Source organism: Homo sapiens, chromosome 1, assembly GCF_000001405.40.
Source record: "Homo sapiens chromosome 1, GRCh38.p14 Primary Assembly".
NCBI classification, from domain to species: domain Eukaryota; kingdom Metazoa; phylum Chordata; class Mammalia; order Primates; family Hominidae; genus Homo; species Homo sapiens.
In genome coordinates this window covers 113,929,617-113,947,893 of record NC_000001.11, presented here as the reverse complement: position 1 = coordinate 113,947,893, position 18,277 = coordinate 113,929,617, and the positions used below count along the sequence as shown (strand labels likewise).

The window sequence follows — 18,277 nt, the reverse complement described above, 5'->3', positions numbered from 1 at the left end:
TCTACAGAAGCACAGGAAAGTGAAAGAAACTGTTAAAAACTGGCAGTGTTCACTTCAGTAGGAAAATGGCATTAATTGTGCTTTGAACATGGCAAGTCTCCTCTTTGAAGACACATCCCATCCTTAAAAAACAAATACTAAACAGGCTCTGGTTATTACAGCTAAGTGATAGAAACAACAATCCCTGCCTTTTGATTCCCCAACTTCAAACTTCTTTAAGTTGAAAAATTCTTCCAACCAACATTGTTGAGGTTAATTTCACTGGCACCCAGAGCAAGCTAAGGTTAGGATCACTTAACACAAATCACTCTGATTATTTTCATGAACATTTTCGTTTCTTTCTTCCTATCTCAGAGACATCAAACCTACTTACTTACCAATTAGAGAGGTTACATAAAACCTAACTTCCTGCATCAGTGGCTTAGGTGAAACTATATTTTGACTGCCAGAGGAAATTAGATTATTTGTTTGTCTAGGATAAATGGAAGATACGTTTTCCTTCTCTAGACCTTTTCCTTCCGTAAGTAACAAAGTGATTCAGCTTGAAATAAAGGCTGGCTAGTTTGTTCAGTAGGGAAAAACATTCAGCCTGTAAGCATGGCAAACCTTTGTCTCTAAAACTCAAGCCCGAAAGACAGGAGCTTTGCTTGGAGTCTGTGCACATTTACAGTGAGCCAGAGAGTAAAGTATATTATTTCCACTGCCTGAATCATTTAGCCATGCCCAGGGCCAATGGACACAGCAAGTTGGCAAATTTATGTGAGCTGATAATACTGGCATATTATCAGAAAGACAAAGCAAGGTAAACTAAAAAGGTGGGTAAGAGAAGGACTAGCTTTGGAGTCAAAATGCTTCACCAGCCAAACAGATTTCACAGAGGTTTTTTGAAAGACAGAAGGGTGAGGACTTAATGGACTCTAATATGGCAACAAAGCAACATCAAAGAAGCTTAAGAGGACCACTGCGGGTAAAACTAGTGATAAAGAAGGAATGCCTGAGCTGCTGTTCCATCTGCCTTAGGCTCATTATCAAGTATTACTGTGACACAACAGAACACTCATGTTAAATCCTAAACACTGTCAAGCCCTGGGCACTGAACTTCAGTATACAGAGTAATTACTCAGTAATACACAGAATGAACTCCTGTTTTTAAGAGGCAAACTTAGCTCCACTTAAAATTATAGTCAACAACTATATTGCAGTGAATTTAAAGAAAGCTTTGTCGAAGGGTAACTTTGAAGATTTGAAAACCTTAGTTTCTATAAAAAACAAAACCAAAATGAATCAATTGACAGCTTAAATTAAAAGGATAAAAAATACAAAGATCAGCAACCTAACACTGAAAATTATTCAAATGAATTACACATTACAGAAAGCTAAGCAGCCAAATAATTCATTTTATTTTGTATTAACATGCCCCAATTATAACAAAGCCAAATAATTTTTATCTCCTATTGCTCTCCCTTTTTCAATTTAAAAACTACTCTGTTATCACAAGAGAATGCACTTTGTCTTTGACAGGGCAAACAAATAGTTAAAGAACACCTGCAGGCACAGAGTCAAGACAGAAAGGAAGAGCTGATCAGCCCTCTTCCTTCAGCTGTGGTCTGCCTAGTCCCTCCTGAGGACTCAAAATGGGATGCTGCGCTGAATTCTTCAGTGCACCTGTAGAGTATGTTATATATATGTTATGTTGGTGTGGCTGGTGGTGAGACTGCTCAAAGGAGAGCATTAAAAAGCAAATGTAGTTGGAACCTAAATCTCCCAAGGCATAAATAAATAAATGGAGATGACATTCTTAAAGTTAGCCAAGGTTGCCTAGGGCAGCATAAAACCAGAAAACAAAGGCTCTAAGAGTTTATTTACCTTACCTCAAGTAAAAAATACCAGTTTTATAAAACTGTGAAAAGATATAAAGAAATAAGGATGGACTGACTTACTATTAAGCTGTCAATACTACCCAAAGTCATCTACAGATTCATCGCTATCCTTAATAAAAAGCAATTATGGTTTTTGTATAAAATAGAAAAACCCATCCTAAAATTTATATGGACCCTCAAAGACCCCAAATAGCCAAAACAATCTTGAAAAAGAACAAAGTTGGAGGTCTCACACTTCCTGATTTCAAACTTACTACAAAGCTACAATAATCAAAACAATGTGGTACTGGCATAAAGACATATATAGATTAATGGAATAGAGAGCCCAACATTGAAAATGGGAAAGCAATAGAAGATAAGAATTATTTGTATATATGTTCAAATGATTCCAACAAGGGTGCCCAAACCACCCAATGCAGAAAGGACAATCTTCTTAGCAAATGGTGTTTGAAGAACTGAATAGTCACATGCCAAAGAATTACACTGGATTTGTACCTTGGACCATAGACAAAAATCAACAAAGAATCAAAGACCAAAATATAAGAGCTAAAACTATAAAACTCTTAGCAGAAAACATAGGGGAAAATCTGTATGATTTCGACTTAACAGTGACTTCTTGGATATGTCACCAAAAGCACAAGCAACCAAAGAAAAAGTAGACAAACTGCACTTCACCAAAGTTAAAAACTTTTCTGTGTCAAACACTATCAACAGGTAAAAAGGCAACCCAAGGAATAGATGAAAATTAAGTATATAGAGTATACAACTCAACAACAAAAAGCCCAATTCAAGAAATGAGGAAAGGACTTAAATAGACATTTCTCCAAAGAAGATATACAGATGTCGGGCACATAAAAAAATGCCAGGCTGGGCATGGTGGCTCATGTCTGTAATCCCAGCACTTTGGGTTGCCGAGGCGGGCATATCACTTGAGCCTATGAGTTTGAGACCAGCCTGGGCAACACAGTGAAACCCCGTCTCTACTAAAAATACAAAACACTAGTCAGGTGTGGGGGTGCATGCCCGTAGTCTCAGGTACCCGAAAGGCTAAGGTGGGAGGACTGCTTGAGCCTGAGAGGTCATGGCTGCAGTAAGCCATGATTGCACAACTGCACCCCAGCCTGGGTGACAAAGTGGGACTCTGTCTCAAAACAAAACAAAATAAAACAAATGCTCAACATCATTAATCATTAGGGAAATACAAATCAAAACCACAATGAGATACCACTTCACACCCATAAGAATGGCTATTATTGACCGGGCCCGGTGGCTCATGCCTGTAATCCCAGCACTTCATCACGAGGTCAAGAGATCGAGACCATCCCGGCCAACATGGTGAAACCCTGTCTCTACTAAAAATACAAAAATTAGCTGGGCATGGTGGCACCTGTATTCCCAGCTACTCAGGAGGCCAAGCTAGGAGAACTGCTTGAACCTGTGAGGTGGAGGTTGCAGTGAACCGAGATTGTGCCACTGCACTCCAGCCTGGCAACAGAGCAAGACTCCATCTCAAAAAAAAAACAAAAAAAAAACAAAAAAAAACTATTATTGGCCAGGCATAGTGGCTCATGCCTGTAATCCCAGCACTTTGGGAGGCCAAGGTGGGCAGATCACCTGAGGTCAGGAGTTCGAGACCAGCCTGGCCAACATGGTAAAACCCCATCTCTACTAAAAATACAAAAATTAGCTGGGTGTGGTGGCAGGCACCTGTAATCCCAGCTACTCGGGAGGCTGAGGCAGGAGAATCCTGGGAGGCAGAGGCTGCAGTGAGCCGAGATCGCACCACTGCACTCCAGCCTAGGCAACAAGAGTGAAACTCCATCTCAAAAAAAAAAAAAAAAAAAAAAAAAAAAACCCATGGCTATTATTTAAAAAACAAAACAAGGCCAGGAGTGGTAGTTCACACCTGTAATCCCAGAACTTTGGGAGACTGAGGCAGGAGGATGGCTTGAGGCCAGTAGTTTGAGACCAGATTGGGCAACAAAATGAGACCCTCAAAACACTGTCGCCACAAAAAATAAAATAATAGTAATTAGCCAGGTATGGTGGAGTGTGACTGCAGTCCTAGCTACTTGGGAGGCTGAAGTGGGAGGACTGCTCAAGTCCAGGAGTTGGAGGCTACAGTGAACTATGATCGTGCCACTGTACTCCAGCATGAGCAATAGAGGCAGCCCCTGTCTCTGTAAAAATAAACAAACAATATTTTTAAATAAAAAAAATAACAAATGTTAGAGAAAATGTGGAGAAATTTGGAATGCACATCCACTGCTGGTAGGAATGTAAAATAGTGCAGCCTCTGTGGAAAATAATTTGGTAATTCTGCAAAAAGTTAAACATAGAATTATCATGTGACCCAGCAATTCCACTCCTAGCTATATCCCCAAAAGAACTGAAAATAGGGACTAGGATACTTGTACACCAATGTTCATAGCAGCATTATTCACAACAGCCTAAAGGTAGCAACAACCCAAATATCTACCAACAGATGAATGCATAAACAAAATGTGGTATATACAAACAATGGAATATTATACAGCCATAAAAGGAATGAAGTTCTGATACATGTTACAGCATGGATTAGCCTCAAAAGCATTACACTAAGTGAAATAAACTAGACACAAAAAGACAAATATTGTATGATTCCACTTACATGCAGTATCTAGAATAGGCAAATTCATAGAGACAGAAAGTCAAATCAAGATTACCAGTGGTAGGAAGAAGAGAGAATAGGGAGTTATTGCTTAATGGTTAGAATTTCTGTTTTGGGTGATGAAAACATTTGGAAATAGTGGTGATGGTTACACAACATTGTGAATATACTTAACAGACAGCAGTGATGGTTACACAACACTATGAATGTACTTAACACAATGAGTGGTACCAAATGGTTAAAATTGTAAATTTCCTATTATAAACATCTTACCACAATGTTTTTAAAAAAGGAAACATGCAGATGACATTTTTTCTGAGTCCTTGTATGGGTTAAAATATCCTCACATTATTTTCACACATAATATAAAATTCTTAATTCAGAATTTCTATTTCCTCAAATTTTATTACAGGCATCTGGCATGTATAGCTCCTTATAAACATATTTTATAGGTTATCTATGTTTTTATTATTTCACTTCTTGATTGGATGCTTACATGATTTGTATTTAATGTATGGCCATTAAAACTAAATATTAGATTCCTTAAAATTAATAACTAGGCAAGTAAGTAAATGGGTGCTGATAAAAAGCACATTTTAAAAGCCTTGGTTATGGTACAGACAAAATTGTATATATCAGCATTTACATACTGTCCCAATAATTATTATATATTAAAATGGTAGCTACATTAAAAGTATCAATCTAGAAATATATATCATTAAAGTATAAGGTACTTGGGTCAAGGCCATTCTAGGATAACCCATTAAGTTCAAAGTATTTAGAGAAAGTTAAAACAGGAAGAGATTGTAGCAACCATGTAATTCAATTCATGCTACTACAGAAGAAAATGTAAAAGAATAAAATGTTACTAGAGTTAAACCTAGAGTTATTCCCACGTTATTTTACCTGCCAAGATAAGAGGTTCGAAAAAACAGCAACATATGCTCAGATTCATTACAAATAAGTAAATATCTTTGTGTATTTCAAGACTCTTCAAAATGGGAAAATGGCTGGGCATGGTGGCTCACGCCTCTAATCACTTTGGGAGGCTGAGGCGGGTGGATCACCTGAGGTCAGGAGTTCAAAACCAGCCCGGTCAACATGGTGAAACCCCATCTCTATTAAAAACAAAAAAATTAGCCGGGCGTGGTAGCAGGTGCCTGTAGTCCCAGCTACTCAGGACAGGAGTAGCAGGAGAAATCACTTGACCCCAGGAGGTGGAGGCTGCCGTGAGTCAATGTCACACCACTGCACTCTAGCCTGGGTGGCAAGTGAAACTCCATCTTAAAAAAATAAATAAATAGGCTGGGCACGGTGGCTCACGCCTGTAATCCCAGCGCTTTGGGAGGCCGAGACGGGTGGATCACGAGGTCAGGATATCGAGACCATCCTGGCTAACACGGTGAAACCCCGTCTCTACTAAAAATACAAAAAAAATTAGCCGGGCGTGATGGCGGGTGCCTGTGGTCCCAGCTACTCAGGAGGCTGAGGCAGGAGAATGGCGTGAACCCAGGAGGTGGGGCTTGCAGTGAGCTGATATCACGCCACTGCACTCCAGCCTGGGCGACAGAGCGAGATTCTGTCTCTAAATAAATAAATAAATAAATAAAATAAATAAAATGGGAAAATGAGGTAAAATAATACTAAAGAACCAGGTGCTAGTATAATTCAACTAGTAACAACTTTCAGAATCAGACTGAGTTAATTTTTCCAGTGCTAGATAAAATTTCAGAAATAAATGTCATATATAGGAATGCCACACACATAGAATGAGCTAAAACATATCCTATTTCTATCTCAGAATCTATAAACAAATTCATTGCTATATGTAGCCTACGGGGTATATGTTAAATATAAGGACAGAACTCTAGCCTAAGATACGATTTTCAGCATTTGCCACTTGCCTGTAGTAACGTGACTGTAAGTAGGTTGAGCACACAGCTTTGGAAACGTGACTAGCAGAACCAAAGTCAATGACCTTCACTCGGTAGGGCTGGCGAACTGGATCAACCAGCATGATGTTTTCAGGCTTAAGGTCAGCGTGGATCAGACCAAGACTCTTGAGCTTCATCAAGGCTGTGGCCACCTGCTGCAAGATTGGTCTGATGTACTTGAGTGGCAGTGGGCTAAATTTGTTTTGCTTTAGAAAATCATATAAGTTCTGCTCCAACATTTCAAAAACAAGGCAGGTGTGATTCTTATGCTGAAAGCACTCGTATGAACGGACAAAATTATACTCATCAGCATTTTCACTGCTTAGGCGGGAAAGGATGCTCACTTCAATCTGTCCTTGTCTGGCATAGGAGGGGTGGTTCTTCAAGATTTTAATAGCCACAATTTCCTTGGTGCTCCTCTTCCAGCACTTAGCCACCTGTCCAAATGTCCCCCGGCCTAGGAACTCCAAGACTTCATAGCTATTGGTCATAGAGCAAAGGATCTCATGCTGGACCAGCTGGTAATCCCCTTCTCCGCTGGAACTGCTACTCTTTGTGGTCACAGTGGTGGTTGTGGCAGCAGCACCCACCACAGTCCTGTTTTGCAGCATGAGAGGGGGATGTTCTTCTATGATCTGCACACTACCGTTGCTGTCAACTTCCTCACTTTTTCGTTTCAATCCACATTTTTGATATGGCTCAAGCAAAGAAACGTTGCTTCTGTGAGTCAGGGTCTGGCTGCTTTGGAAGGTTGATGTAGCAGCACTGCCCGAGCTATCAGCGGCTGTTACAACAATATGCTCCACTGCAGGAGCTGGGAGGAGGAGGCCCTGGTCGTAAGCAGGGATGTTGAAATTTGCTACCTGGTGAGAGGAGTTGGCTTGCCCTTGTGTGGCTGGGAGGGTTTTGCTGTGGGTATAATATTTGTCGTTGCTACTCTGTCCTGAAACATCCCAGCCAGAGGGCTCTATTTTCAGTTTCTTCGCACTGCAGAAGGCACTCGACGACACTGATGGGGGCGAAAACACTTGCAGCTGTGATGCCATACCTATATTGAGAGAAAGGAAGAATTAGACCACAAGGATAAAAGATACAAGGCTTAGATTTAAAACACACAAACACACACACACACTTTTACTTGATAAAAGAAACATGATGTAATAATGTTCTCCTCTTCTCAAAAACTAATTCAATCTTGACCTATATTCATAGAAACAGTGTACAGAACGTGCTGGACAAAGTGAAGATTATCCACTCTGCTCAGGTCATACATAAAATGCATTCAATTGTCTACCACATTTTAAGATAAAAAAGTAACCAGTATGGGCCAGGCACAGTGGCTCAAGCCTTTAATTCCAGCACTTTGGGAGGCCAAGGCAGGAAGATCTCCTGAGCTGAGGAGTTCGAGACCAGCCTAGGCAATGTAGTGAGACCCTGTCTCTAAAAATACTAAAATTGAAAAAAAAAAAAAAAAAAGTAACCAGGATGATGAGAAAGCTAGAGTATATTCTGAAGAACCGAGGAAAGTTAGCAGAAAAATATGAGGAAAGGATGTAAGAACAGTCCAGCTTTCTGTCCCTGAATATCCCACAGACACTTCCAGCTCAATAAGCCCACAGATTAAACTGAAAGCTATTTTTTCAGAATAAAGTCCAAACATCTGACATAGCACACAAGCCATTTCATATTTATCTTCTCCATTTTCAACCATCCGATCTCATATGCCTTGGGGCTCTATAGTAATCCCTCTTTCCTTGCTCTACCCTTTGCCCCTTTTTAATAATTACTCCTCAAAATTAGTCATCTTCAAAAGACTAAAATCTCTATCTCTAACCCAGGATTCTCTCGCTTTGAACTCCAAACCCTATATCCAAATGACTACTTAACCCTGCAACTTGGACATTTCACAAACACCTCATATTCAATACATTCAGAATTAAACTTACGAGCCTCCACCCCACCTTCAGTTTTCTATCTTAATTATGAGATGCCATCACACATCCAACGCCTCAAGCCAGAAATCAGGGAGCTCCAGCCTGGGCAACATGGTGAAACCGTCTCTAAAACAAACAAACAACAACAACAACAAAAAAAAAAAAAAACAGAAAAAAAAGTTAGCCAGGCATGGTGGCACATGCCTGTAGTCCTAGCTACTCAGAAGGCAGAAGTGATCACCTGAGCCCAGAGGTAGAGGCTGCAGTGAGCTGTGATCGTGCCACTGCACTCCAGCCAGGGTGAAAGAATGACACCCTGTCTCAAAAAAAAGAAAAAAAATTAGGGATGTCTGTTTCCTCAGCTACATAATGGTGATAGCAATACCTACCTCATGGGGTTGTTCTGAGAATTAAATAATTTAATACATGTAAAATGATAGTGTCTACCACATATTTAATACTATTATCCTGGCTCATTCCTCTCCCTTATTCCTCCACATCTAATCTCTATCTTATCCATTCCATCTCCTAAGTGTGTGTGTGTGTGTGTGTGTGTGTGTGTGTGTATTTTTTTTTTTTTTTTTTTGAGACAGAGTCTCACTCTGTAGCCCAAGCTGGAGTGCAATGGTGCAATCTTGGCTCGCTGCAACCTTCACCTCTGGGGCTCAAGCAATTCTCCTGCCTCAGCCTCCCAAGTAGCTGAGAGTAGAGGCGTGCACGACCACACCCAGTTAATTTTTTTGTATTTTTAGTAGAGATGGGTTTTCACCATGTTGCCTGGGTGGTCTCAAACTCCTGAGCTCAAGTGATCCACCCCCCTCACCCTCCCAAAGTGCTGGGATTACAGGCGTGAGCCACTGCCCCTGGCCTCCTAAGTATATTTCAAATCAGCCCTTTTTCCCTACCCTTATTGGCACCATTCTAGTTCAAACTGCCAGTAGCTTCCAAACTAATCTCCTTAAATCCACTCAGTAGATCTTTGCTTTTAAACAATGCAAATCAGATAACTGCTCTCTCTTCTTAACCATCTTGCTTCCCCTTCTCCCGGGGTTTCTCATTGCTTTGGAGATAATGTCCAAGATTCTCAACTTGGCTGGCCATGGTCGCTCAAGCCTGTAATTCCCGCACTTTGGGAGGCCCAGGCAGGAGGATCACTTGAGCTCAGGAGTTCAAGATCAGCCTGGGAAGCATTAACAAAAAAAAAAAAGAAAAGAAAAGAAAAATTAGGCCAGATGTGGTGGCTCACGCCTGTAATCCTGGCACTTTAGGAACCCAAGGTGGAAGGATCACTTGAGTCCACGAGTTCAAGACCAGCCAGAGCAACATGGGGAGACTCCATCTCTACCGGGAAAAAAAAAAAAAAAAAGCCAAGTGTAAGTGGCACATGCCTGTGGTCCCAGCTACTCAGGAGGCTGAAGCAGGAAAATCATCTGAGTCTGGGACATTGAGGCTACAGTGAGTTGTGATTACTCCATTGCACTCTAGCCTGGGCAACAGAGCTAGATCCTATCTCAAAAAAAAAACCTGTCTCAACCTGCCTTAAAATGCACTCCAAAATCTGCTTGCTGCCTTCCAACATCTCCCCACTTTGATTCCTCCCCTAACCCCCACTCTAGCCACACTGCCTTTCTTTCTTTAGTTCTTGGAAGGCCACTCACCTCCAGGCCCTCTAAATATGTTGAAGACTTTCTGCTGCGAAAACTGCCCTGACACCTCTGTCACATGCAGAAACGCTCCCTACGATCACCCCCTGCCCCCACCATGCATTCCCACAGCAACCTGTTAACTTGAAAGTATTTATTTAATGCTACATTCCCAGCTACAGTATAAGCTCCGGCACATGTACCATCTCTGTCTTGCTCTTCTATCACCAAAGCCTTATACAGACTGACAATATATACATACTCAATTATCTGTTGGATGAATTATTTGACCCCTGCCTACCAATCTCATATCTATTAAATACAACTCCCTACCACTCACATTCAACTGTAGTATTTTCAAATGCTCGATCCTTGATTTTTTTTTTTTAATGTCTTCCCTCCTTTTTATCTGTGTGGTCCTTGAGTCATGGGGGAAGTCTCTACTCCAATCCATACAGTATAACATTACTAATCATAAAAGAATAAACACAACAAGAAAGGAAGGAAACATGACAAAGGATGTTACAGAACATCAAAAGGCAGTAAGTACATTTCTTTGTGCCTGAATACAACTAGAAACCACCTGCACTGGACTAGTCAGCTGGAAAGAACAAATCCTCTGCCTTCAATTTCTAAAACTCAGTTGAGATTTACTTTAAGAGTTTCCATAATTTATATAAACTTTGAAGAGAAAAAAAAGTACAAATTAAAAGCTAAGGTCAGTACAATTTAACTGTGAGGCTGAATTTACAAATCATCTTGTTCTACCTACTTCACTGAAATACCAAATATAATAAAAGAAAAATCTGAAACCAAGTACCTCCTTTACAAAATGCACCTATTAAAATATATGTGTAAGTATTTATCATAAAATTAAGCCAACCTGTTGAACAACAAAAGGAAGCAAATTTTCTAAATTTGTTTTCCATTAACAATGTTAATATTGTTCACCTAATTTTAACAATCTATCAAAAAACATAAACACAACTTTTATGTAACTTGAAGTATTTAGTGAAAGAATCTAAATAGAAAATTTGCAGTTTGTAGCAACTGTCTAGGAATAGGGGGGTCATAAAGTAATACTGAAAAGAATTCATGAAATACCAAATTTTTAAAAATGTATTCATTTTGGGAGGCCAAGGCAGGCAGATCATGAGGTCAGGAGTTCGAGACCAACCTGACCAACATGGTAAAACGCCATCTCTACTAAAGATACAAAAATTAGCTGGGCGTGGTGACACGCACTTGTAATCCCAGCTACTCAGGAGGCTGAGGCAGGAGAATCACTTGAATCCGGGAGGCAGAGGTTGTAGTGAGCTGAGATCATGCCATTGCATTCCAGCCTGGGCGACAGAGTGAGACTCCATCTCAAAAAAAAAAAGGATTCGTAACTAGATACTCTATAAAATTTTGCATTTGGCAGAGTAACATTATTGCCAACTTTTTACCCAAAAAACATAATAAAAGATTACTTATGATTTCAGATCTTCACACTGGGCACTGAAAAAAGTACAAGTTCTAGGATATTTTTCAGAATGTTTTAATATTAAATGATTATAGTTCTTATCCATAAAGACAAATTTAGTTCACCCAAGGGGAAAGGACAACTCAGAATTCTTTCACTGGTCTTCCCCACAGCAAGGGTGTGATGTACAAAAAGTCAGTATCAGACCACCGGGGTTCTTACAGTGTGGCTGAGACTCATTCTGACCTCAATTAACACAAGGTGAGAAGAAAATACAGAATCACAATGGCCTAGAAAAACCAACAGACTCTTATTTATATTCTACTCTGAAACTCAGCTAAAACAGCAATTTCTAGACACAGGATAAAGATATTATGTTCTATTAAACTTGCCTTTGCAAGTGGGGAGGCAATTCTCTTCCTAGGTGGAGAGCTTTCAAACAACAACAACAACAAAAACAGAATTAACATCTGTGGAAAACTTACTATATATCAGAATCTGTGAGGCAAATTACAGATATTTTCAATTCAATGTGAATAGCAACTCAATAAATTAAAAAGCTATTTTTGACACACTTGCAGTCAACAAGCATATGAAAAATTGCTCAACATCACTAATCATTAGAGAAATGCAAATCAAAACTAAAATGAGATACCATCTCACACCAGTCAGAATGAATATTATTAAGAAGTCAAAAAATAACAGATGCTGGCAAGGTTGTGAAGAAAAGGGAACACTTATACTGCTGATGGGAGTATAAATTAGTTCACCCATTGTGAAAAGCAATGTGGCAATTCCTCAAAGAATTTAAAACAGAATTACCATTAGATCCAGCAATCCCATCACTGGGTAAATACCCAAAGGAATATAAATCATTCTACCACAAAGACACAAGCATATGTTCACTGCAGCACTATTCACAATAGGAAAGACATGAAATTCAACCTAAATGCCCATCAATGGTAGACTAAAGAAAATGTGATACATATACACCATGGAATACTATGCAGCCATAAAAAAGAACAAGACCATGTCCTTTGCAGCAACAGGCAACATGGATGAAGCTGGAGGGCCACTATCCTAAACAAACACAGAACAGAAAACCAAGTACTGCATGTTCTCACTTAAAAGTGGGAGCTAAAGAACGAGAACACATGGACACAAAGAGGCCAACCACAGACACTGGGGCCTACTTCAGGGTGGAGGGTGGGAGAAGGGAGAGGATCAGAAAAAATAAATGTCAGGCACTATGCTTATTACCTGGACGACAAAATATCTGTACACCAAACCCCTGTGACATATAGATTACCTATATAACAAACCAGCACATGTACCCCTGAACCTAAAATAAAGGTTTAAAAAAAAAAAACAGCTGATTCTTTTTTTTTTTTTTTTTTTGAGACAGGTTCTCACCACTGTCAGTGAGGCTGAAATGCAGTGGTGTGATCACAGCTCACTGTATCCTCGAAATCCTGGGCTCAAGCAATCCTCTGCTTCAGCCATCCAAGTAGCTAGGACTACAGGCACACACCAGGACGCTTGGCTAATTTCTACAGGCACATGCCACAGTTGGCTAATTTTTTTTTTTTTTTTTTTTTTTTTTCAGAGATGAGGTCTTACTATGTCACCCAGGCTGGTGTCAAACTCCTGCTCTAAAGCAATCCTCCTCCTGCCTTGGCCTCCCACGATATTGAGATTACAGGCATGAGCCACCGTACCTGGCATAAAAAGTTATTTTTGACTTCCTGAAAATGCTGCGCCTCTTGACTCCAGCAATAAATGAAGTCTTTACATTTCAAATCTGACTTTCCAAGGACTTAACCATCTCAATATAATGACAAATTTGCCCAGTTCATTAATACCAAAGTAGCAATGATGGGCAAAAGATCATTGGTACTTGTACTTATTGCTAAAAGATAATAGCTAGAATCCAAGGCTTTCAAAAACAGATTAACAACTTTCCCACTCCCTGGCATGGTCACATCCATTTAACATTATTTACTGGGTGCTCCACACTATAAGCACTATAGGCAAATAATCTTATTAAAAGGATCCAAATATTATAACCCTGAATGGAACAGTTGGATAAGACAACCCAGGTAATCATTTTCCATTGATTTGTCCTTACCCCTCAGTAACCTTTTTCCTGACACACCAGTAATAAATTCCTGTTGCTTTTGCTCAATGTTATCTTTGCCTCTTTCATACAATTTAACAGCTGGTTAGCCAAATGACCTAAAAACTGTACTATATATTGATTTCTTGCTCCAGCACTTATCCTCAGATGACATGAACACAGGTATACATATTGTCTATCACATACTCTGATACATATTTTTTACAGATGATAAGAGTACATCTTCTGTAAAAACAAAGTGAGACAAGTTTGGGAAGAAAATTCTTCCCAACAGAACACCTAAATCTCTCTCTACTCTCCTAAGTTTTCTCCACCCCTACTGCACAATCCCATACTTAAACAGCTTAACTGGTTTCCTCCAAATTGTACTCTCAACTTCCCCCCTTTATTTGAGACTCTGTCACCCAGACCGGAGTGCAGTACACGATCATGGTTCGTTCACTGCAGCCTGGACCTCCAGGGCTCAATCCACCCTCCTACCTCAGCCTCCCGAGTAACTGGGACTACCAGTACATGCCACCACGCCCAGCTAATTTTTTTGTATTTTTTGTAGAGACAGGGTTTCACCATGTTGCTCAGGCTGGTCTCAGACTCCTAAAGTGATCCACCTACCTCAGCCTCCAAAAGTGCTGGGATTACAGGTGTGAGCCACGATGCTGGCCTCAAGCCCCTTTTCTAAGCTCCCCTCTCCCAATTCATTATTCACCTCTCAACTGAAGCTTTTAAAAATGCACATCTGAAAAAAAAAAAGTGTACCTATCCCCCACTTAAAACCTTAGGACAAACACCAAAATTCCTAATTTGGATTACCAGGCCTTGCAAGATCTGGACCACGATTACTTGCACAGCCTTGTTTCATCTGCGCTTTTCCCCAGGCACTTTCTCTTCCAATACTACCAAGTCTCTCTGGGTTCCCACAATAGACCTTGCCTTCTCTGGCCCTAGTTCCTTCAACATGTTTCCTCTCTGAACTTCATTTTCCCCCTTAGGCTTTTCTTTTCCTAACTTTTACTTACCCTTCTAGTCTCTGCTTAAAGCTCACTTCTTCAGTGTGGCAGAGGCTGTTGCTTTGTATCAAAATCAATAGTTCACTTAGATTTATTTGGAATGACTACGGCAACAGAACAAAAGAAAAGTAAGTGCTTTGTGTTTAGTAAAAAGGTACTACATTTTAGTACCTGCACATAACAGTCTATAGGTCTATAAAGCTTAGAATTAAGAAAACTATACCTTGAGGAGTTTCCAGGATAAGAAAAAGTTAAAATTAACAAAGCAGAGATCAATATGAAACATAAACAATATGCCAGCAAAGGCTGAAGGAAAACGGGACTTAAGTAAGGCAACAGCAGTTTGGAGAATGGAAGATGGAGGAGGCTCTTTCAGAAGAATGAGATGACTTTTGCTATGCTAGTATGCCAAAGGATGTGGAAAAATAAAAAACCGTGTAGAGTAAGGAGATATATTTAACTGGAGCAGAAGACACTAGCAAAAAAGTACTGGAACTCTTACAGATAAAAGGGACCTTAAAGATTCTAAAACCCCCTAATTCCGAGATGAGAAAAAGGCGATCCAGGCCAGGCATGGTGGCTCACGCCTGTAATCTCAGCACTTTGGGAGGCCGAGGCAGGTGGATCACTTGAGGTCAGGAGTCTGAGACCAGCCTGGCCAACATGGCAAAACCCTATCTCTACTAAAAATACAAATATTAGCCAGGCATGGTGGTGCGTGCCTGTAGTGCCTGTAGTCCTAGCTACTTAGGAGGCAGAGGTATGAGAATCACTTGAACCCACCACTGCACTCCAGCCTGAACCCACCACGGCACTCCGACCTGGGCGACAGGGCGAGATCTTGTCTCAAATAAAAAAAAAAAAAAAAAAAAACAGATCCAAAAAGGCCAAACGAGTTTTACCCAGCGCTAATGAGTAGCAATGCTGGCAAAGGTCTTCTCATTCTTTTTCCTTAAGCACTCTGGGAAAGCACTGTACCAGGTACCCTTAAAGAATCTAAAAGAAATGTAAGTTTCCTTACCTTCAAAAAACTTAAAATGTTGCTGAAATGATATAACACATGAAAAAGAAAGAAAAATATGAAAACAGGATGTAAATTTTTCAAGTGCCAAATTATGCACTACAGGAATATATTAGGCATTTAGGAGCTGGGTTCCAACAACTAAAGGGAAGATCAGGAACAAAAACAAAAGGAACCAAAAGACAAACCAGTGATTGTTGAAGTGGTACTTAAAGGAAAATAATCTTGATGACTTGTGTTCAGAATGGCACAAAGGGAGAGGAAGGGAAGATAACGGGAGGAATAATAGTAAATTTTTTTTAAAAAGACCTAAAAAATACAGACTGCTGTTATACACTCATGCAGGTGGCAGATCAAGCAGCTCATGTTTGCAAAATTACTTCAAATTACAAGACCAGTTACAATATATAACTAACAAGCTGCACAAGTTCCAAGTGTAAGAACTTTACAAGGCCGGTATGACTCACTGATTTGTACCAACAAATCATTGATGGAGCTGTGCTTATAAAAACAAAAGCACAGAATGAAAGAAGTTTATTTTCCAAAGAATTGTGAACTTTGAGATTATCTCTTCTTTTTTTTTCTTTTAGAAGGAAGTTCTGGTTTGGTTTGAAGTCTCAAGTTACCAACGAACTTGCTCAAAAAACCACAAAACTACAGTGTCGAGAGATAAACTATTCATGAAGGTATCACCAGCAAAAGTTCTACTTGCCAACCAGAGCCAGTATATTTATAAGATCTCATTCACCATTTTATTCTAAGATACTTTACTGGCTTGGCTGCCTCCAGTTCCAACCGCAAGTACTTTACTAAAATATCTTTCAAGCCAGGAACAGTATCTTAAAGTCAATGCCACCCTTCATCATAACAGTATTATAACACAGAACCCTGAGATAATTACATGTAAAGATCCAAAATCACCAGCTGAATAATGAAAATTAGGTCAAATGATTTGTTAGATTTTAAAATGTTTTATAGAAAGCTTTAGGCTTCCATATGAAAAAAGCTAGTAATAGTTTGCATTCTCTATAATCTTACAAAAAAAAAAAAAAAACCCACAGACCAGAGATCAAAAATAGCTTTACACAAACAAAAGGAAAATTGTAGGTTTGCTGAGGGCATCAGCCACTTAATTTAACCCTATTTCATCAAGAGCGGGAAGCCACACTGCTGTTTTCACCAGTTACTAAGAAACAAGATAAAGGACAGATTGGGACAGAGAGTCTATAGCTGAAAGTATTATGTTGATGCAATTACTGAGAATTCCCAAAGTGTCACTAATAGACAAGAAAGAGCATCTAGGACTGCCTCTAAATGAGTCTACCTACAACAGAATCAGTGATTAAGTAAAGAAAAGACTTACTGGAGCTTGGGGGTTTTCCCCCCCTCTTCCCTACCCGCATCCTCCCATCCTGAACCCCCCTCCCCAAGTAGGAAAGAAAGCTCGCCCAGCATAAACACAGGCCATTGCTCACAGCTCGTCACCACAACAAACTGGAGGTTAGACCAACGCTCCTGGAGACGGAACTCCACGTCTTGGTTGCTAAGCACAAAAAGGGGACTCTTCCCCACAGACCTGTGAACAGTGTGGGCCTTACCAGAATTTTGGTTGTTTCTCCACCTTCCCCCTCCCTTTTGTTTTTTTAACGAAAGCTTTGAAAGTGGTGGCAGCAAAAGTTTCCCTTTGGGCCAGACCTCTAGATCTCCCTTGTACAGATATACATTAGGTGGGCTGGTCTCACGTAGTCTCCACCGTCATTACGAATTACAAGCCTAACGACTACAGAACATCAGCGGAGACGACAGAAAAGCTTCCACACCCACCCCACTGTCGTCCTCTCCAGGCACGGCTTCCTGGTCCCAAACAGCACAAATAACCCAAAACCATGGTGATAAGCGGAGCTGTGAAGTACACACGCACAAGCCACACACTGGGAACCTGCCACGACAGCCGGGGAAAAAACCGGCCGAGTGAGGAGACGCAAGGCGGTCCCCTGTCACTTAAGGACAACACGCCCAGGCGAGAAGTGGCAGGAGGCAGGGGGAGTTGCCCCGAAAACCAGCCCGGAGCCTCCCCACCTTCCTGGGAAGGCAATCCCCTCAGCGGCAGTGAGCGGCCGGGCCGCAAGACGCGGCGCCCGGTCCCAGGCAGGGGCCCTTTGAGGAAGGCGCCCCCGGCAGGCTGGGCGCTCCAGGAGAGCCGGCGGCCGGCCCGGCCCCGCCTCAGGGAGCTGAGGGGAAGTCGCTCCCCGCCGAGGACCCCTCCTGCCCGTCCCCACTCACCGCCGGTGTGTCTGGTTCTCAGCCGCGAGCTGGGGCTGCCGTGAGGAGGCGGCGGAGGAGACGAGATCTGGGGCCCCGCAGCCGGGTCATCATACCCCCCGCGCGAGCCGGCCCGGGCCCCGGCCCCCGCCCCCCGGAGCCGTCCCCGCGCCCGTCCCGCAGGGGGAGCCTCCTCAGCCTCCCTCCCGCTCCACCACCCAGCCCCTTCCCGCCGCCGCCGCCGCCGCCTCAGCCCCGCGCGCTCCCGCCTCGGCCTCCTGCTGCCGTCCGGGGCTACCGCCGGGCCCCTTGCTCCGCAGCCGCCGTTGTCGCCAGACCCGACG

The 18,277-nt window shown here is 41.4% G+C and overlaps 1 protein-coding gene across 15 annotated transcripts in view, besides 3 other annotated features; it reads right to left on the bottom strand.

Annotated features, from left to right (window-relative positions):
- Positions 1 to 18,277, bottom strand: part of HIPK1 (homeodomain interacting protein kinase 1) — a 48,546-nt gene that overhangs the window by 29,976 nt on the left and 293 nt on the right. For 10 of the 15 annotated variants that reach the window (NM_198268.3, XM_005270611.6, XM_005270610.6 and 7 more), the window contains exon 2: positions 6,435 to 7,512. In NM_198268.3, coding sequence (NP_938009.1) covers positions 6,435 to 7,510 — 1,076 coding nt within the window. In that variant the 5' untranslated portion in view covers positions 7,511 to 7,512. Of the gene's footprint in view, positions 1 to 6,434; positions 7,513 to 8,410; positions 8,525 to 14,659; positions 14,755 to 15,671; positions 18,051 to 18,277 lie in introns of those variants that run through there. The other 5 variants (NM_001369806.1, NM_001369807.1, NM_001410847.1 and 2 more) reach the window with 3 other exon arrangements.
- Positions 9,612 to 10,139: an enhancer, noted in NCBI's record as "H3K4me1 hESC enhancer chr1:114480377-114480904 (GRCh37/hg19 assembly coordinates)". NCBI's record gives its function as "activates a minimal SCP1, AML or CMV promoter by ChIP-STARR-seq in primed H9 embryonic stem cells {active_cell/tissue: H9 hESC(primed)}" and the evidence as "EXISTENCE:reporter gene assay evidence [ECO:0000049][PMID:30033119]".
- Positions 17,840 to 18,149: a silencer, noted in NCBI's record as "silent region_1218". NCBI's record gives its function as "represses an Ori minimal core promoter by ATAC-STARR-seq in GM12878 lymphoblastoid cells {active_cell/tissue: GM12878}" and the evidence as "EXISTENCE:reporter gene assay evidence [ECO:0000049][PMID:35858748]".
- Positions 18,170 to 18,219: a silencer, noted in NCBI's record as "silent region_1217". NCBI's record gives its function as "represses an Ori minimal core promoter by ATAC-STARR-seq in GM12878 lymphoblastoid cells {active_cell/tissue: GM12878}" and the evidence as "EXISTENCE:reporter gene assay evidence [ECO:0000049][PMID:35858748]".